This window comes from Homo sapiens, chromosome X (genome assembly GCF_000001405.40).
Source record: "Homo sapiens chromosome X, GRCh38.p14 Primary Assembly".
Classification (NCBI taxonomy): Eukaryota; Metazoa; Chordata; class Mammalia; order Primates; family Hominidae; genus Homo; species Homo sapiens.
Genome location: NC_000023.11, coordinates 2,771,322 through 2,791,539, shown reverse-complemented (window position 1 = coordinate 2,791,539; position 20,218 = coordinate 2,771,322). Strand labels below are relative to the sequence as shown.

The 20,218-nt window shown below is 44.9% G+C and overlaps 1 protein-coding gene across 6 annotated transcripts in view, besides 3 other annotated features; it reads right to left on the bottom strand.

Moving 5' to 3' along the window:
* XG (Xg glycoprotein (Xg blood group)) overlaps nucleotides 1-20,218 on the bottom strand; it is a 64,461-nt gene that overhangs the window by 24,961 nt on the left and 19,282 nt on the right. For 4 of the 6 annotated variants that reach the window (XM_005274587.5, NM_001141920.2, XM_011545575.4 and 1 more), the window contains 3 exons: nucleotides 16,801-16,824; nucleotides 9,412-9,474; nucleotides 1,831-1,896 (listed from right to left, as the gene is read on the bottom strand). In XM_005274587.5, coding sequence (XP_005274644.1) covers nucleotides 1,831-1,896; nucleotides 9,412-9,474; nucleotides 16,801-16,824 — 153 coding nt within the window. The remainder of the gene's footprint in view (nucleotides 1-1,830; nucleotides 1,897-9,411; nucleotides 9,475-16,800; nucleotides 16,825-20,218) is intronic. The other 2 variants (NM_001141919.2, NM_175569.3) reach the window with 1 other exon arrangement.
* Nucleotides 7,264-7,944: an enhancer, noted in NCBI's record as "H3K27ac-H3K4me1 hESC enhancer chrX:2701637-2702317 (GRCh37/hg19 assembly coordinates)". NCBI's record gives its function as "activates a minimal SCP1, AML or CMV promoter by ChIP-STARR-seq in naive H9 embryonic stem cells {active_cell/tissue: H9 hESC(naive)}" and the evidence as "EXISTENCE:reporter gene assay evidence [ECO:0000049][PMID:30033119]".
* Nucleotides 7,945-8,625: an enhancer, noted in NCBI's record as "H3K27ac-H3K4me1 hESC enhancer chrX:2700956-2701636 (GRCh37/hg19 assembly coordinates)". NCBI's record gives its function as "activates a minimal SCP1, AML or CMV promoter by ChIP-STARR-seq in naive H9 embryonic stem cells {active_cell/tissue: H9 hESC(naive)}" and the evidence as "EXISTENCE:reporter gene assay evidence [ECO:0000049][PMID:30033119]".
* Nucleotides 9,307-9,988: an enhancer, noted in NCBI's record as "H3K27ac hESC enhancer chrX:2699593-2700274 (GRCh37/hg19 assembly coordinates)". NCBI's record gives its function as "activates a minimal SCP1, AML or CMV promoter by ChIP-STARR-seq in primed H9 embryonic stem cells {active_cell/tissue: H9 hESC(primed)}" and the evidence as "EXISTENCE:reporter gene assay evidence [ECO:0000049][PMID:30033119]".

The window sequence follows — 20,218 nt, the reverse complement described above, 5'->3', positions numbered from 1 at the left end:
CGCTGTGGTTTTGGAGACTTGCAGGAGGTGGGTGAGTGGGCAAAAGTGTGTTCGTTTTTCTAGGGAAGAAACACAATTCTTCAGTTGCAAGACCCAAGGGAAAAGGCACTGGGACATACCCAAAGCTTGTTTCCTTGGATTTCACGGAGTGCCTTGAACCCTAGGAATATGACAACATCCAAGCAACGTCCTGAAACAATCACAATCAGGGGAACTCCCAATGGTTAAAGCAGGTGGAGAGAGGAAGACACCCAGTGTATCTTAGCTTCCTCAATCTGCACACATTTGCCCCACCAATGGAATCGCTGAGACTCTTCCAACTTTACAGACCAGCATCTCTTTCCTGAGTGTCTCACGTTCGTGAGACACAATTGCCAAGGCGGAGATGGGAAGTGCTGTAGGAACACAGGCAAAGTGGCCGCAGATAACTCTTGCAGAGGGAAGAATAAGTGAGTAGAACACAGACCAACAAAAAAAAAAACAAGAAAAAATTGCCTTCCTCCATCATAACTTGAAATGTCTTAGTGTGCATGGTATTTTTCAGTCAATGTCATCAAAAACATTTAAATTTATTTACTATCAACTAAATGTAATCCCCAGGTGCTGGTGGATAGTAGAACTGAACTCCTCGCAAAACAATGTCTGTGCATTTCAAAAGCAATTGGTCTTTCACCATGGAGATGAGAATTTTTAAGTCATTAAATAATACTTGTATCCAACCACCCCCCCGCCTTTTTTTGAGACAGAGTCTCACTCTATCACCTAGATAGATTGTGCATTGGCACAATCTTGGCTCAAGGCAACCTCCGCCTCCTGGGTTCAAGCGATTCTCCTGCCTCAGCCTCCCCAGTAGCTGGGATTACAGGCACGCGTCACTCTGCCCAGCTAATTTTGTATTTTTAGTAGAAACAGGGGTTCACCATGTTGGCCGCTGGTTTCAAACTCCTGACCTCAGGTGATCTGCCTGAGGAGACCTCGGCCTCCCAAAGTGCTGGGATTACAGGCGTGAAGCACTTCTTTTTTTTTTTTTTTTTCCTTTTGAGACAGGGGCTCGCTCTGTCTCCCAGGCTGGAGTGCTGTGGCGTGATCTCAACTCACAGCAGCCTCCGCTTTGCGGGTTCAAGCGATTCTCCTGCTTCATCCTCCTGAGTAGCTGGATTACAGGCATGTACCACCACGCCCGGCGAATTTTTGTATTTTTAGTAGAGACAGGGTTTCATCATATTGCTCAGGCTGGTGTCAAACTCCTGACCTCAAGTGATCCGCCCACCTCGGCTTCCCAAAGTGCTGGGATTACAGGCATGAGCCACTGTGCCTGGCCCCAAACACTTCTAAAATGGACTTTAATACTGATTATCAGGCTGGGCCACAATAGCTGGTGCCTGTAATCCCAGCATTTTGGGAGGCTGAGGCAGAGGATTGCTTGAGGCCGGGAGTTCAAGAATAGCCTGAACAACACAGCAAGATCCTGTCTCTGCAAAAAATTTGAAATATAGCCAATATAGGTGGTGAAATATAGGTGGTGCAATGTAGGTGGTACACATCTGTAGTCCTAACTACTTGAAAGGCTGAGGGAGGAAGATTGCTTGAGCCCAGGAGTTCAAGGCTGCAATTACATCACTTCACTCTGGCCAGGGCAACAGAGCGAGACCCTGTCTCCAAAATAAATAATAAAATAAAATAGTAAAATAACATAGAATCAAATAAAATAAAGTAAAATAACATAGAATCAAATAAAATGGTAAAATAAAGTAAAATAACATAGAATCAAATAAAATAGTAAAATAAAATAAAATAAAATAAAATAAAAATAAATAAATAAATACTCATTACCTCCACTGTTGCCGGAATTGCCAGGCTGGGGTTGAGGGCGTGGCTTTGGCCTTGGGTAGATATCTGTTGGAAAACAACAGTATGATTTCAGAAAAATAATGACATCTTTCAGGTAGATACCATCTATAAATAAGAATGCCAAAGTACAGAAAAGATGTTACTGCCCATTGCTTTTACGGAGCTTATTAATCATGTAGACAATATTCATAATACCACCTCAGAGCTTACAATGAAAAAACAAAAACTTACACCACTGGTGCTTTCGCAAGAAGTCCAGGGCTCTCTGAAATTAACAGGGCAGAAAGTGCGTTGTTGACCTTTCCCTGTTTAGGGCTACTACAGATGCCAGCACCATTTACAGAAGTCAGTCACTTCTATAAATGTTAGGATGAAACATCTGACCTTTTGATAGTGTGTTGTATTTCCATCTTGCTTGAGTTACACCGTTTCATTTGAATTTGTGTTGTTGTTGTTTTGAGACAGAGTCTTGCTCTGTTGCCCAGGCTGCAGTGCAGTGGTGCAATCATAGCTCCCCGCAGCCTCGAGTTCCTAGGCTCAAACAATCCTCCCACCTCAGCCACCCATGTAGCTCAGTCTACAGGTGCATACCACCATAGTTGGCTAATTTTTAAAATTTGTGTAGAGACAAGGTCTTGCTATGTTGCCCAGGTTGGTCTCAAATTCCTGTTCTTAAGCAATCGTCCTGTCTTGCCTTCCCAAAGAGCTGGAATCATCATAGGCATTAGCCACACTGAGCCTGGCTTCATTTGAATTTCTTAAAACTTTTTGCAATGACTTTTGCATGTTCCTCAAGTTTACCATGAGCTTTCTGCCCTAGGACTTTTTTTTTTAAGACGGAGTTTCGCTTTTGTCGCCCAGGCTGGAGTGCAGTGGTGTGATCTCAGCTCACGGCAACCTCTGCCTCCTGGGTTCAAACAATTCTCCTGCCTCAGCCTCCCGAGTAGCTGAGATTACAGGTGTGTGCCACCACGCCTGGCCAATTTTTGTATTTTTAGTAGAGATGGGATTTCACTATGTTGCCCAGGCTGGTCTCGAACTTCTGACCTCAGGTGATCTGCCCACCTTGGCCTCCCAAAGTGTTGGGATTACACGCATGAGCCACCGTGCCCAGCCCTGCCCCAGGACTTTTGCAGGTGGCATTCCTTCTGTCATGACCCCTCCTGTTCCCTGTCCATCACTTTACACTCTCCCTAAATATTTGAAGAATCCATTTGTCATCTGGAAAAGCATTAATTAGCTCGTCCCTCCTGTCTCAGCTTAAATGTCCTTTGACCCTATTCAAGAAGCCGAAATGAAATAATCAGTGCAAGCTCTTTGCACGACATGAGTCTGTATCTTCAGCACCTTTTTGTCGCTGGACTAGAAACTTTATTTTCTGTACCCATTCTATATTCCTGGTACCTGGCACTGCCAGTACCTGTCAAGTGCTTATCCACATTGGCTCAAGAGTGAAATTACTTTAATTCACAAAAAAGGCAAGGATGCTGTTCTCAAAGTCCTTCCTCAGGACAGACGTCTCAGAACACTGGAAATCTGGGCTGAGAATGACTGGTTTTTCACTTCTCAAAATAGTCTCTCTCTCTTTCCCTTTCTCTCTCTCTTGAGACAGGGTGTTGCTCTGTTGCCCAGGCTGGAGTGCAGTGGTGAATCATAGCTCACTGCAGCCTCCACCTCCTGGGCTCAAGTGATCCTCCTACCTCAGCCTCCTGAGTATAGCTAGGACTACAGGCATGGACCACCATGCCCTGCCTAGACTCTCTTTTTTTTTTTTTTTTTTTGAGAAGGAGTTTTGCTGTTGTTGCCCAGGCTGGAGTGCAGTGGCACAATCTCGGCTCCCTGCAACCTCCGCCTCCTGGGTTCAAGCGATTCTCTGGCCCCAGCCTCCCAAGTAGCTGGGATTACAGGTATACACCACCATGCCCAGCTAATTTTTGTATTTTTAGTAGAGACAGGGTTTCACCATGTTGGCCAGGCTGGTCTTGAAATCCTGACTTCAGGTGATCCACCCACGTCGGCCTCTGAAAGGGCTGGGATTACAGGCATGAGCCACCACGCCCAGCCTAGACTCTCTTTTGAGGTCTCTAAAATGATACAACTGTGGGGGATTATGGAAACTTGGGGGCCAAACAGAGGAGTGGGGACTGGACACAAGGGAGCTTTGGTTTCCAGGCCAGAAGGCACTGCCCGGAGCACGAGCTGCATATTCGTGGCTTGGTTCAGGAAGTCTCTGGGTACCTCACTGTAAGGTCAGTCCTCCCTCAAAACGCCTTCATCTGTGAGCTTCCCTCCTCCATTCACACACAGAACCTCCAACTGCATTGATTCCTGGGCTTACTCCTGAGGCCTCTCTCCTTGGCTTGTAGACACCATCTTCTCCCTGTGTCCTCACAGGGTCGTCCCTCTGTGTGTGTCTGTGTCCTCATCTCCTCTTCTTATGAGATGTCTTAGTCCATTTCAGGCTGCTATCACAGAATACCAAAGACTGGGTGGCTTATAAACAACAGACATTGATTCTCCCACAGTCCTGGAGGCTGGAAGTCTGAGATCCAGGTGTGGGCTGGGCTGATTCCTCCTGAGGCCTCTCTCCTGGGCTTGCAGATGCCATCTTCTCCCTGTGTCCTCACAGGATTGTCCCTCTGTGTGTGTCTGCGTCCTCATCTCCCCTTCTTATGAGGTGTCTTAGTCCATTTCAGGTTGCTGTCACAGAACACCATAGACTGGGTGGCTTATAAACAACAGACATTGATTCTCCCACAGTCCTGGAGGCTGGGAGTGTGAGATCAAGATATGGTCTGGGCTGGTTCCTCCTAAGGCCTCTCTCCTGGGCTTGTAGATGCCGTCTTCTCCCTGTGTCTTCATATAATCTTTCCTCTGTGTGTGTCTAAGTCCTCATCTCTTCTTATTAGGATACTAGTCCTATTGGATCCGGACCCACCCTAGTGACCTCATTTTACATTAATCTCCTTCTTAAAGGCCCCATCTCCAAAGACAGTCACATTCTGAGGAAACTGGGGGTTAGGACTTCATCCTATGAATTTGCGGGGAGACATAATTCATCCCATAACAGCTTGCATCAAAAAGAATCCGTGCCTGTCTTGTTACTTTCAAGACAACATGAGGACAGGCACAGTGGCTCACACCTGTAATCCCAGCATTTTGGGAGGCCAAGGTGGGCAGATCACCTGAGGTCAGGAGTTTGAGACCAGCCTGGCCAACATGGTGAAACCCTGTCTCTGCTAAAAGTACAAAAATTAGCCAGGTGTGGTGTTGCACGCCTGTAATCCCAGTTACTCGGGAGGCTAAGGCAGGAGAATTGCTTGAACCCAGGAGGCGGAGGTTGCAGTGAGCCAAGATCATGCCATCGTGCCATTGCACTCCAGCCTGAGCAATACAGTGAGACTCTGTCTGAAAAAAAAAAAAAAAAAGACAACATGGATAGGAGCTGCTGGGGTCAGAGAAAAGAATCGGTGAGCAACGCTGACATCTCTCAAAGGGACAAGCACAGACATAGGAAGCAGAGTCAACAGTTGGCCTGAGAAATGCCACAGGAGCTCATGGAAGCCAAGAAAAATGTGCTGAATTTCAAAGGACACAGAGAGAATTTTGGGTTCCTCCAGATCAAATTCTAAGGGAAAGAGACCACTGGGCTCCAAGCATGCCTGGAGCCATCCGGAGAAAGCTGGCTGGTGTGTGGTAAATACTTATAAATCCCCCAGCCACCTATCAAGTCAATGGAGGGAGAATGAGAAAGAGAACATGGAAAGGCCTAGGACATTCCATCTCTGGGGTCTTCCCAATGTTGCCCATCAACAATTGCCTTCGTTGTCTGAGGGATTGTTCCAGAACACCCCATCTTGGAGGGACGTTACACATTGTTTTCTAGGGCTCTTCCTCGTTCTCAAGATACACACTTGGGAATCTAGGCTAGCCTGGGCTCATTTGGGCTAGCCTGGGCAAGAACACTGGTTAAGGGGAATTTCTGCTCATATACCACACTATCCATAATTAACTTCCAACCAGCTTCATTTTTCCTTTTCCTTGGGTGTGTACGTTAAATTTGCTCATTTCCTGTGTTAAATACTCCATGTTCTGATGTTCAATTGTGAAAGGAAAATAAATCTTGGGACCCCAAAATCATTAAGCCAAGGGAAAAGTCAAGCTGGAAAAAAAAAGTTAGTCAGATCTGCCTCCCATTTTCTTTCTAAATAAGATAGCTACAAAAAAATTTTTTTAAGTTTTTTAAAAGCTACATACTGTCCTCACAATCTGAGGAAAGTAAACTGTTTTGTTTACCCTAAAACAGTTCTGTGGAATTTCACCCTGGCAATGTACACCAACAGCTCATCTTCACAGGTGTGGGACAGAAAGTCATCCCCTCTGCTCCCCTGAGACAAATGCATGTCTGATTGCTTCCTCTGCCCTATTGTTGATGAAAAATGCAGATTCACTGGGCCAGACTGAGGCATAAGTACTATTCCTTTGCCCTGTCTCACATGTAAATTGAGTTTTCAGTAAAAGGCCGATCAAGGACTTAGAAGAATGCAACTAGTTGTCTCGTATCTTCCTGTGACCTGGAAGCCCCTGCTTCCAGTTGTCCCGCATTTCCAGATCAAACCAATGTACTTCTTATACATATTGATTGATATCTCCTGTCTCCCTAAAATGTGTAAAACCAAGCTGTGTCCTGACAACTTTGAGCACTTGTCATCAGGACCTCCTGAGGCTGTGTCACGGGCACGTCCTTAACCTTGGCAAAATAAACTTTGTAAACTGATTGAGACCTGTCTCAGATATTTTGGATTCACACAGTATTGATTAATAATTCAGGACTGCCATGTTAAAGGCATCAGTGTGGCTGGATTTAAGCACAACATGAAAAACCAAAGTCGGAAAGGAAGCCTCCTCTTTGTTGGGACAAGCATCAGGAGATTGAGGCTTGAGTCATGGGGGGTCACCTCCCCAGCCTGAGCCTCTCTTCCCCCACTCCTCCTCCTATTGGGGTTCATGAATCACTTTGCTGTGGGAGGGGCTGAGTGTTCACACTCTGAAGATGGCCCATCTTAAAGGATCTCGCATTTTAAGTTTTTTTTTTCTTATTCTTTTTTTTTTTTTTTTTGAGACGGAGTCTCGCTCTGTTGCCCAGCCTGGAGTGCAGTGGCGCCATCTCAGCTTGCTACAACCTCTGCCTCCCAGGTTCAAGCGATTCTTATGCCTCAGCCTCTCGAGTTGCTGGGACTACAGGCCACGACTAATTTTTGTATTTTTAGTAGAGATGGGGTTTCACCATGTTGGCCAGGCTGGCCTTGAACTCCTGACCTCAGGTGATCCACCAGCCTCGGTCTACCAAAGTACTGGGATTACAGACGTGACCCACCATGCCCAGCCACACATTTTAAGTCCTGATGAATTCTCTGGGAGGGAAGCCCACGGCAGTCTGTTTAACTGGGCGTTTCCCAAGTATGTTTCAGCAAGAAACACGTTCCCTGTGGAATTCCCATGAGTGCCTTGCAACATAGCCATGATCCGCAGGACAATGGTTTTTAAAAGACTAGGAGGAAATAGCAGGAGAAAAAGGTGGGTGGTATTTGGGATTTTCATCATGAAAGAGGGGGAAAAAAGAAAGACTAGCTGGCTTAACTAATGCAGTTAAGGGTGAGGTGGTGTTTTGGGGTTTTGTTTTGTTTGGTTTGGTTTGGTTTGGTTTGGTTTTTCGAGACAGAATCTCATTCTGTTCCCCGGCTGGAGTGCAGTGGCACAATCTTGGCTCACTGTAACCTTCCTCTCCTGGATTCAAGTAATTCTCGTGTCTTAGCCTCCCAAGTAGCTGGGATTATAGGCGCATGCCACCATGCCCAGCTAATTTTTGTATTTTTGGTAGAGACAGGGTTTCGCCATGTTGGCCAGGCTGGTCTCGAGCTCCTGACTTCAGGTGATCTGCCCGCCTCGGCCTCCCAAAGTGCTGGGATTCCAGGCGTGAGCCCCCACGCCCGGCCTGAGGTGTAGTTTTTCAAGTGGGTGTCACCTCCCTTGGGTCTTGGTCTCTGTTTTTAATGATTCCTTGTAAGAGGAGATAATTTCTGTCCATCTGGATGTGCGTGTCTGCAATGAATGGACACGCTGTTAAGCTGTGAAAGTTTAAAGCCAGAGCAAACTACCAGGAAGCTTCCAGAACCCCTCTTGATTTAGCCAGCTTCACGCTGCTCTGCCTGGCAAACATTTAAGTTTTTAAGGTTGTTGAACTGCTGATAACTTTAATGGCCAGAATCTATCTTTTCCTTTCTTCTTTCCCCTTTCTTTTCTCTTTCTCTTTCTCTCTCCATGCCCACCCCCCTCCCCACTCTTCTCTCTCTCGTTCACTCTCTTTCTTTTTTGAATTGCATATTTTTCAATGATGAGTGTAATAAATCTGTGGAAAAAAACTGTCTGCCAAATGTTAGAAAAAATGGAGAAACCAACTCTAAAACACATAAAGTGCACAGCACACGTGGGGGTTTGGGAATGGTTAAGCCAAAGGTATTTGGAGCACTGAAAACAAGTGAGAGAAAGGACTTGTCTCTCAGCCTGATTAGCTTTCTGTGATGATAATGCAAAGTGTCCTTTGAGTATCAAACGGCCTTTGCAAAAATTATGACTGAGGAAATGATGACAGTGAAAGAGGTCAGACCTAACCAACTCCATCTTGCTTCTAACCTTTAAGCTGTCCTTGTTCTTTCCTGGGTGTGAGCCAAACTAGCCTTGGGAACGAATTCAGTTCGTGGTTTCACTCTGAAACAAAATTAAGAATGCCCCTTTCCCAAAAAGACCCCCTTCTTGCCTGGGAACCAGTCTGCCTTTGCAGGACCAAAAAATTAGCTACAAGATTAGAAATTACACTTTAGGGCTCGTGCAGCCTCTGGCTGCAAGAGTCTGAACCTCCCCAAGTTTCTCCTGGGGGTAACATCACTATTGTAAAACCTAAGATCGGTGCTTGAGATATTTTGCAGCCTCTGCACTGGATGGATCAGCTGACACCACTCAGCCCGGTAATCTGGCTCAACCAGGTCCGCCATCCACCCAGGAACAGAAAACAGCAAGAAAACCTCACTTCAACCCCCTATGGTTCCCTTTCCAACCTGACCGGTCAGCACTCCCCACTTCCCAAGCCCCTACCTGCCAACTTATCCTTAACAACCCTGATCCCCAGATGTTCCAGAGACTGAATGATTAATAATAAAACTCTAGCCTCCCTTAGAGCCGGCTCTGCGTGAATTACTCTTTCTCCATTGCAGTTCCCCTATCTTGATAAATCAGCTCTGTCTAGGCAGCCAACAAAGTGAACCAGTTGGGTGGTTACAAGTACACCTTAGTGGTTTCTAGATGTCAAAGCAAAGGGAAAATAAGATTGTTTCTGTCCGTTGGACTTTCTTGCTCCCCCCAGTGAGGAAAGAAACTACATTCCCAGTAAGGGAGCTATTACACACATATTTCAAATGCAACCAGGCTAAACCTGCTAGTAAATAAAAAGGCAAACATCATCAAACCAGATTGAGAAAGAGTTTCAGGCCTGCGGATTCTTACTTCCACCGCTGTCGGGATTCTCGGGCTGTGGGTAGTAAGGTGGTTTTGGCTTTGGGTAGATATCTGTGGAGGAAACAACATTGCACTGTTAGAAAAGAAAATTGTCCTTCCCTTAGGAGCAGGCTGCAGAAACAAGCTCATCAGCGTGACTATCGACCTTGCAGTTTGTTCTGATTTGCTGCCCACGGTGTGTTTATAGATTGCCATTGTCTGGTTAAAAATCACTTTGCAGATAGAAGTAAAACCTTGAAACCTGAAACTTAAAAAAAAAGGTTTCCGTTTTGTTACTAGAAGTTCGTTTTCATGGCAAGAAGCCAGTGTAGCTGTCTGCCATGATGGAAGCAAGTAATATAAAAAAGAAACCTAGGAAGAATTGTCATGGAATAAATTTACCGACAGTCCAGTGCCTGTGATGAAGATAACACCAAACCTTCTGTTCCCGGACCCAACTGGGTTGCTATTTCTCACAGCCCAATAATGAAACACCGATGAACTGGGGAGGAAGAGAGTTTTTATTTCTGCAACCTGTTACAGGGAGAAGGCCTGGAAATTATCACCAGACTAACTCAAAATTATAGTTTTCCAGAGCTTATATACCTTCCAAGCTATGTGGAGATATGTGTGTGCATTTATCTAAAGACATAAGTGATTAACTTCTTTTAATCTATAACTAAGGTCTGAGTCCTGAGGATCTTCCTCAGGAGCCTCAGTAAATTGACTTAATCTAATGGGTCCAGGTGCCGGGGTGATTACCCTCATGTTGTCTCCTGCTAAATCCAGGAGGTTTGCAGAGTTCCTTCAAAGCCCCAATAAACTTGTTTGTGGAGGCCTGGGGAGTTTCTGCAGACCCCCAGTAAAACTTGTTTAATCCTAAATGGGTCCTGTTAAGAATTCATTCATTATTTTGTCATGCTTTAAGGCCCGGGAAAGTCCTGGGAAAAACTCTCGGTGGGCTTTTGTTACATTCCAGCCTTTGTATAACAGCACTGGCTTTTAATATTTAACCACTCAGTCAATACTGAAACAGGTGTTGTGGGGGCCTGTGTTAGTGAGACCTGGCCTGCGACACTTCCACTCTCAGTTTCCAAGTGCTCTCACTCATACACTGTGAAGGGAACATAAATCTCGGGACCCCCAAGTCACTAAGCTAAAGGGAAAAGTCCAGCTGGGAACTGCTTAGGGCCAACCTGCCTCCCATTCTATTCAAAGTCCCCCCTCTGCTCCCTGAGGCAGATTCGTATCTGATCGCCTCCTTTGGAAAGGCTAATCAGAAACTCAAAAGAAGGCAACTGTTTTGTCTCTCACCTGTTTGTGACCTGAAAACCCTCTCCCTGCTTCCAGTCTTCCTGCCTTTGCTTCAAGTGCTCCACCTTTCCAGACGGAACCAATATACTTCTTCTTTTTTTTTTTTGAGACAGAGTCTTGGTCTGTCGCCCAAGCTGGAGTGCAGTGGCATGATCTCCGCTCCCTGCAACCTCCGCCTCCTGGGTTCAAGTGATTCTCCTGCCTCAGTCTCACAGCCTCAGGCACACACCACCATGCCCAGCTAACTTTTGTATTTTTAGTAGAAACAGGGTTTCACCATGTTGGCCAGGCTGGTCTCAAACTCCTGACCTTGTGATCCACCCACCTCGGCCTCCCAAAGTGCCGGGATGACAGGTGTGAGCCACCTCGCCTGGCCTAATTGACTTTTTTTTTTTTTTAGAAAAAAAAAAAAAAGCCCAATTGTTTAAATCGGTTTAAATTTAAATAGTGGCTTAAATTGGCTTTCAATGAATATGTGTGACCCTGAGCATTTCTAACACACATCAGCTGGTCAATTGCATAATTCCCTCTTCTTTGAATTTTTCTTGTCAGCGAATGGAATGATCATATCCCTCTTCTTTTAGTCGCCTCATAGTCTCTCTCCTCCATTTTCTTTTTCTTTTCTTTTCTTTTCTTTTTTTCACCATCCGTCTGTTTTGGTAGGAGCTATCTATACACAGTTTGTGCTCTATAACCAGAATTTCTGCATCTATAGATCCAACCAGTCTTGTATTGAAAATATTTCAAAAAATAAAATATAGCAATCCAATAAAAAGTAATACAAATAAAAAATAATATAGTATAACAACTATTTGCATAGCATTTACAGCGTATCAGGAGTTATGAGTAACCTAGAGATAATTTAAAGTATACCAGAGGCTGGACACGGTGGCTCATCCCTGTAATCCCAGCACTTTGGGAGGCCAAGGTGGGCAGATTATGTGAGGTCAGGAGTTCGAAACCAGCCTGGACAACATGGTTAAAACCCGTCTCTACCAAAAATACAAAAATTAGCTGGGGGTGGTGGCGCATACCTGTAATCCCAGCTACTTGGGAGGTTGAGTCAGGAGAATCTCTTGAACCCGGGAGGTGGAGGTTACAGTGAGCCAAGATCACGCCACTGCACTCCAGCCTGGGCAACAGAGTGAGATTCTGTCTCCAAATAAATAAATAAAAATATACAGGAACATATACTTGCATTATATGCAAGTACTGCACGTTTTATATCAGAGACTTCAGCAGCTGTGGATTTTGGTGTCTGCGGGGAAGAAGGCGTCTTAAAACTAATCCCCCATGAATTCTGAAGGATGACTGCATTTTGCATATTAAACTTTCCCTGGTGGTATGAGCAGTAAGGAGCCTCTTCTAGTTGACAGCTCATCTTTTGACTTTTTTCAGAGCCTGAAGTTGGAACATTATTATTATTATTATTATTTAAATGTAGACATAGGCTAACCCATTTTTAAAGGTTATGCTTTTTTTTTTTTTTTTTTATACTCTCACTCTGTAGCCTCAGCTGGAGTGCAATGGCAGGATCTCGGCTCACTGCAACCTCCACCTCTCGAGCTCAAGTGATTCTTATGCCTCAGCCTCCTGAGTAGCTGGGACTATGGGCGTGGTTATGCTTTTTGTATTGTATCTAAGAAAAACCTCCTAACTCTGAGGTTATAAGACATTTCCCTCTATTTTTCAAAAAAAAAAGTTTTCTTTTATATTCAGGTTTGTAATCCACCTGTAGTTCATTTTTAAGTATTACATGAGGCTGGGTGTGGTGGTTCACACCTGTAATCCCAGCACTTTGGGACACCGAGGTGGACAGATCACCTGAGGTCAGGAGTTCGAGACCAGCCTGGCCAACTTGGTGAAACCCCGTCTCTACTAAAAAAATGCAAAAATTAGCCAGGCGTGGTGGCACATGCCTGTAGTCCCAGCTGAGGCACGAGAATTACTTGAACCCGGGAGGAGAAGTTTGCGGGGAGGTGAGATCACACCACTGCACTGCAGCCTGGGTGACAGAGCGAGACTCCATCTCAAAAAAAAAAAAAAAAGTATCGCATGAGGTTGAGATTTGATCACGTATCATCCACAAGAACAGCCAATTGTCTCAGTCCTGCCTATGTGGAATTTGGTTTCTTCTCTCATTGTTTTATAGCTGCGACCTCTCTCATATGCCAAGACACAATTCAGTCTGTTTCAAACCCTTCTGAACCTATGCATTGCTCAGTTTCTCTGTCTCTGAGCTACGGTTTTCATTTCTTTCTTCTTTTTTTTTCTTTTCTTTTGAGACAGGGTCTTGCTCTGTCACGCAGGCTGGAGTGCAGTGGCGTGATCATGGCTCACTGCAGCCTCAGCCTGGGCACAGGTGATCCTCCCACCTCAGCCTCCTGAGTAACTGGGACTAGAGGTGCATGCCACCATGTCCACTAATTTTTTTTAATTTTTTTGTAAAGATGGGGTCTCACTATGTTGTCCAGGCTAGTCTCAAACTCCTGGGCTCAAGAAATCAGCCAGTCTCAGCCTCCCAAAGTTCTGGGATTACAGGCGTGAGCCACCACGCCCAGCTCCACATCTTTATTCTTAATAACATTTCCATCTACAGATCCTGGTATTTCTGGGGAAATGCTTTTTAAAATCTCACACTTAGATCTTTAAATTTCCACTTTTAACTTAACCTGAGGTGCAGGCTGGGTCAAGATTCCATTATCATTCAGGGAATCATTCTTTTAGTGGGAAGAACCTCTATTTGGGCCTCAAAGTTGTTTGCACCTCGAAGGTTATTTTGTCTGATTTTGCTAGCCCAACTTGGCTTTCTTTCTATTGGTTATTTGCTTTGCGCATTTTTTTTCCAGCTATTTTCACCTTCTCTTTGGCATTTTGTTGCAAATGCTTCTCTCGTAAATAGCATGAAACATTTTATTTGTATTTTTAGTAGAGATGGGGTTTCACCGTGTTAGCCAGGATGGTCTCGATCTCCTGACCTCGTGATCCACCCGCCTCGGCTTCCTACAGTGCTGGGATTACAGGCGTGAGCCACTGCGCCCAGCCGAAACATTTTAAATTGCATCATCTCATCTCCGTCTTTTTACAGATTTATTAAATCACTGAACATCTAACATAACTAAGGATTCACTATTCCTACTATTTTATTTTACTTTTCTTCTTTTTTAATTCCTTCCTTCTTAACTTCCATTTAGTATTCAGGTTTTTAATTTATTATTTTTTTTTATTTTTGAGACAAAGCCTGGCTCTGCCACCCAGGCGGAAGTGCAGTGGCGCAATCTCAGCTCACTGCAACCTCCACCTCTGGGGCTCAAGTGATCCTCCCACCTCAGCCTCCTGAGTAGCTGGGACTACAGGCATTCACCACAACACTTGGCTAATTTTGGTATTTAATTTTACTCTTCATTTTTTTTGTATTTAATTTTATTCTTCATTCTTCATTTTCATCCACTAGTTCAGGAGTTATATGTTCAATTTTTATTTTTAGCAGGAACACTTAACCTTAAAATGTCAAAATCCAGCAATATCTAACTACTTTTACTCAGTTCTTCCTTTCTTATCCTCTCTGTGAAGGTAGCCTCATCTTCAGAAGTTAAGTTTCACTTTGTTGTTAACACCAGTTATTATTATTTTTTTAAACAGCTAACAATCACTTAGTTTTACCGGCTTGTTTGCAATGTCTTTGGCTGGCATTGCTATTCGCATCCTGCTGTGCTATTCAGGGTGTGAATTTCTTCTTATGGCAGAGCATCATTTGGAAGATTTTTCAGCAAAATTTGCAGAGCTTCTTGTTGGAAATCTTTATGCTATCATCACTCTCCAACAGCAATTTAGCTGCATTTTCAATTCTTGCTTGATAGTGAACATTTCCTGAACAACCTATAAACACCCGTCCATTGACTTCCTGACATCTCTCATGGCAGTCAAGGAGTCTGCTGGAAGTCTGGGAGTTATTTCTTTTTGTTGTTGTTGTTGTTGAGACGGAGTCTCGCTCTGTCGCCCAGGCTGGAGTGCAGTGGGAGATCTCGGCTCACTGCAAGCTCCGCCTCCCGGGTTCACGCCATTCTCCTGCCTCAGCCTCCCAAGTAGCTGAGACTACAGGCGCCCGCCACCATGCCTGGCAAATTTTTTTTGTATTTTTTAGTAGAGACGGGGTTTCACCTGTAATGCCCAACCTGGTTTTTACTAACCTGTTTTTAGACTCTCCCTTTTCCTTTACTCACCTAGCCTTCTTTCCACCTGAATGGACTCTCCCTTAGCTAAGAGAGCCAGCCAGACTCCACCTTGGCTCTTTCACTGGCAGCCCCTTCCTCAAGGACTGAACTCGTGCAGGCTGACTCCCAGCACATCCAAGAATGCAGTTAACTGATAAGATACTGTGGCGAGCTACATCCGCAGTTCCCGGGAATTCGTCTGATTAGTAACGCCCAAAGCCCCGCGTCTATCACCTTGTAATAGTCTTAAAGCCCCTGCACCTGGAACTGTTTACTTTCCTGCAACCATTTATCCTTTTAACTTTTTGCCTACTTTACTTCTGTAAAATGGTTTTCACTAGACCCCCAGCCCTCCCCTTCCTAAACCAAGATCTAAAAGTTAATCAAGCCCCTTCCTCAGGACCGAGAGACTATTAAGCATTAGCCGTCTCTCGGTCGCTGGCTTATAAAGGACTCTTAATTTGTCTCAAAGCGTTTTTCTAACTCGCTCAGGTACAACATACCGTGTTAGCCAGGATGGTCTCGATCTCCTGACCTTGTGATCCACCCGCCTTGGCCTCCCAAAGTGCTGGGATTACAGGCGTGAGCCACTGCGCCCGGCCCCGGGAATTATTTCTTTTTCTTTTCTTTTCTTTTCTTTTTTTTTTTTTTTTTGAGACGGAATCTCACTCTGTCACCCAGGTTGGAGTGCAGTGGCATGATCTCGGCTCACTGCAACCTCCACCTCCCGGGTTCAAGTGATTCTCTTGCCTCAGCCTCCCGAGTAGCTGGGATTACAGACATGTGCCATCATGCCCAGCTAATTTTTTTATATTTAGTAGAGACCAGGTTTCACCATGTTGGCCAGGTTGGTCTCGAACCCCTGACCTCAGATGATCTGCCCACCTCGGCCTTTCAAAGCGCTGGGATTACAGGTGTGAGCCACCGCCCCCAGCCAAAGGTTACCTTTTTAATTGAAAATAAATAAATAAATTGAAGTCAAATTTACATATAATTAACCATTTAAAAGTGAATAATTCAGGGGCACTTAGAATATTCACAGTGTTGTGCAGCCATCACCTCTGTGTACTTCCAGAATGCTTTCGTTCCCCCAAAAAGAAACCTGGAATTTATCAAGCAGTCACTCTCTCTTTCCCCTCCAGCCCCTGGCAGTCACGACATTGCTTCTGGTTCTAGGGATTCACCTATTCTTGAAATTTCATCTTCATAAAAATATACATTATGTGATCATTTGTGTCTGGCTTCTTTCTCTTTGCAAAATGTTTTTGAGGCTCAACCACTTTGTAGCAATTTTCAGTGCTTCATTCCTCTTCAAGGCTAAATAATATTCCATTGTGTGAATGGACCACATTTTGTTTATCCATTCCTTCCACTGATTAACATGTGAGTTATTTCTATCTTTTAGCTATAATGAATAGTGCTGCTCTGAACATTTGTGTACACATTTTTCTTGGAACCCGTGTTTTCAATTATTTTGAGTACATACCTAGGAGTGGAATTGCTGGTTCATAGAGTAATCCTGTATTTAACTTTTGGAGGATCCACCAAAGCATTTGTTCACAGTGGCTGTACCATTTTAGACTCCCACCAGCACTGTACAAACATTCCAGTTTCATCACATCCTTGCCAACACTTGTTATTTTCCATTTTAGATTTTAGCCATCTCAGTGGGGACGAAGTGGTGCTTCACTGTGGTTGTGATTTGCATTTCCCTAATCACCACATTTTGCTTTCAATATCTGCTATCTGGTACAGTTGTTGCATCTCTTTCATATACCCCACAGTTCTGTAAAACATCCTCAACCATCCCCTCCGTAAGCATCAGTTCAAGGACGTTGCCTCAGTTTTTCCCAGCTGAAGAGACACTCACCTGAGTTTGGCTTCTTGGTGGGTTCTGTGAACAAAGAGAGAAAATAAATGCAATATGCATTGAAGATTCATTGGAAGCATGAAGAAAGGCCATGAACGCCCTGATGAAAGGTGAAAAGGGAGTGACAAAGCCATACAAAGTAAATGATATAGACACAAATTCCATGTTGAATTGAGAAAAAAGACAAGAAAACACCCTTAAAATCCATTCAAAAACAATCCACCCTTGAGGCTGTGAGGATGCCCACAGGATGGCCAAAGTAGCTGAGAACATCCAAGACAAGTAAGTGAGCCACCTGCCCGTAGAGCCACCACAGGGCTGGACGGTGGAGGGTGAGGCAGGGGGAGGCAAAAGAAAAGAAGGAGAAAGACTTGCAGCTTCCAGAATGATGGCTTATCTCACTTTCTTTCATTCATTCATTTATTCATTCAGCAAATATGTATTGCATGGATGTGGATATCAGGTCAGGAGTGCTCAGGGTGCAGCCTGTGACTGCCCTGCTTAGTGAACCTGGGTGTGCAGTGTGGATGGGCAGACGAGGGCAGGAGGAGGTTTGAGGAAGATGGCTCAAAGGAGGTGGAGTCGGCCATGGCTGGGAAAATTGGAGCTTCAGGGCTGTGCAATGGCCAGACTTCTTCCAAACAGAGGAAACACCGTATTTGAAAGCATGGTTTACATAACAGCCTAGCATTGCCTTGGTAGGAGGCGGCTGGAACACGGGTTTGTGTGTGGTGCGGACATTCACTGGGGATGCAGAGACTGCAAGAAGGAGAGCTTGAACCTCCAAACGGGGCATATGGTTTCGCATGTCCTGTATTTTAATAGAAGGTTTCTCATCACCTTTTCTCCTTCCTGCCACCTCCCTCTCCCTTCCTGCCCTCCCTTCTTCCTTCCTTCCTTCTCTCCTTCCTTCCTTCTCTCCTTCCTTCCTTCTCTCCTTCCTTCCTTCTCTCCTTCCTTCCTTCGCTCCTTCCTTCCTTCGCTCCTTCCTTCCTTCTCTCCTTCCTTCCTTCTCTCCTTCCTTCCTTCTCTCCTTCCTTCCTTCTCTCCTTCCTTCCTTCTCTCCTTCCTTCCTTCTCTCCTTCCTTCCTTCGCTCCTTCCTTCCTTCTCTCCTTCCTTCCTTCTCTCCTTCCTTCCTTCTCTCCTTCCTTCCTTCTCTCCTTCCTTCCTTCTCTCCTTCCTTCCTTCTCTCCTTCCTTCCTTCTCTCCTTCCTTCCTTCTCTCCTTCCTTCCTTCTCTCCTTCCTTCCTTCCTTCCCTCTCTCCTTTTCCCCCTTCTTCTTTCCTTCCTCCCCACCCTCCTTTCTTCCTTCCTCCCCTCCAACCTTTCTCCTCTCCCTCTCTCCTTCCTTCCCTCCGTCCTTCCCTTATTCTTTTTCTTTCTTCCTTTCTTCTCCTATTTTTCTTTCTTTCCTTCCCCCCTCCTTTCTTCCCTTCCTCCTTCATTCCTCTCCTTCTTCCTTCCTCCCCTCAGTCTTTTCTTATCTCCTCTCCTTTCTTCTTCCTTCCTTCCCTCCATCGTTCCCTCTCTTCTTCCTTTTCTTCCCTCCTTGTTTCCATCCTTTTTCCTCCCTCCCTCCCTGTTTTCCTCTGTCCTTTCATTGTTTCCTTCTTTTCTTTCTTCTCTTCCTTTTCCCTTCCTTCCTCCTCCCACCCTCCCTCCCTCTCTCCCATCCTTCCTTTCTCTGTCTCCTTTTTAAAATGTAAAATTATAACTATTTTTTAAAATAGTGATACACTCACAGAGTTTCTTAAAGCCCAGGCAGTATAGACAGTGAAAAGTGAATTCCCCACAGTCGCCATGCAGGTGACTGTGGTTCCTCTGCACTGGGGCTTCCTTCCCATGAGGAAGGGCTGTGGATGAACAGGCACATGCCTGCCCATTCATGGGGGGCTCTTGGTAGCAAAACGATGCATTCAAAGATGTGTTTGCAGGCACTGGCAGCCTTCTAGGTGAGCAATGAAAAGGTAGTAGCAGGTGAGTGGAAAATAAGTTTATTTATGTGATTTTTAAAAAATTAATGTGAAACTCACATATAAAATTTGACATTTTAAAGTGTGCAATTCAATGGTGTTTCATATATTCACAATATTGTACAATCACCACCTGTATCTAGTTCCAGAACAGTTTCATCCCCCCAAAAGGAGACCCCATAGCCACGAGCAGTCCCTCCCTTTTGTCCCCTCTTCCAGCCCAACAATCGCTAATCCACTTTCTGTCTCTCTGAATTTGCCTATTCTGGACATTTCATATTAATGGGATCCTACACCCTGTGGCCTTTTGTGCCTGGCTTGTTTCACTGAGCACAGTTTCAAGGCTCATGTAGCACGCATCAGAACCCCCTTCCTTTTTACAGCCAAATCATATTCTGTTGCCTGGAGGGACCACATTCTGTTCATTCATTCATCCCCTGATGGACAGTTGGGTTGTTTCCACCTTTGGCTTATTGTGAATATTGCTGCTGCAAACATGGGTACACAAATAACTGTTTGAGTCCCTGCTCCCAATTCTCTTGGGTATCTGTCTAGAAGTGGAACTCCTGGGTCACATGTCAGTGATCTTTCAGATCAATAACATGTCTTGTTCTGTATCTGAGCCTACCAGCCAGCCCCTCCTTCACTATTGCACAGGGTTCTCTTGCAGATATGCCTCATTCTTTATCCAGACCAAACGCTGGTGCAACACACTCAGTCTGAATTTTGGAGATAATCCCCCAATGCTTCCAAAGTGGTTGCAACCACACACCTGCCTCTAACCCCCACCCCTCAATCTGCCTTGACAGGGTAGGATTCAACCTTCACCTTTTCTAACTTCATGGGAGAAATGGCATCTCCATGTTGGGGTGAGTCATTACATTTTCCTGTTGCACTGACAACAATTTTGTATCTGCCTTTTAGGATAATTATTAGCAAAAACATCACTGTGTGCAGAAAACTGGGAGAGAGATGAGTTCCTATCATCTTGTTGTTGGCTTTTTAGGATCAGATCTGGTTATCATTCTCTCTTCCTCCAACAAACACCATTATGTAACTGCACTGGTCAACCAGTTGTTCCCAATGCTAAAGCCCAATGGATTCTTCCTCTGTGTACACAAAAGTTTATTTTTCTTTCAAAATAAATGTTTGGTTCCATTGTGCCTGCATCAGAAACCAAATCTTTCCCTTTCTCCCACCCACCGCGGTCTGAATACACCTGAATCTCAATCAGACTATCTGCCTCAAGCAGGACTTTCTGCAGGGCCCAGGACACATATTTTCAGCATTCTGGTCAGCCAGAAAGGTTCTAGCTGAACTTGGACTGATGAAAACACAGAATGGGAAGATTCCAGGTCCTCAGTGCCCTGGAGAAGAAAAACTCACAGCCCCGTCAGTGAAGGTAACCAGAGAAGTTGAGGGGAGAACGGAATGAAGTGTGCTC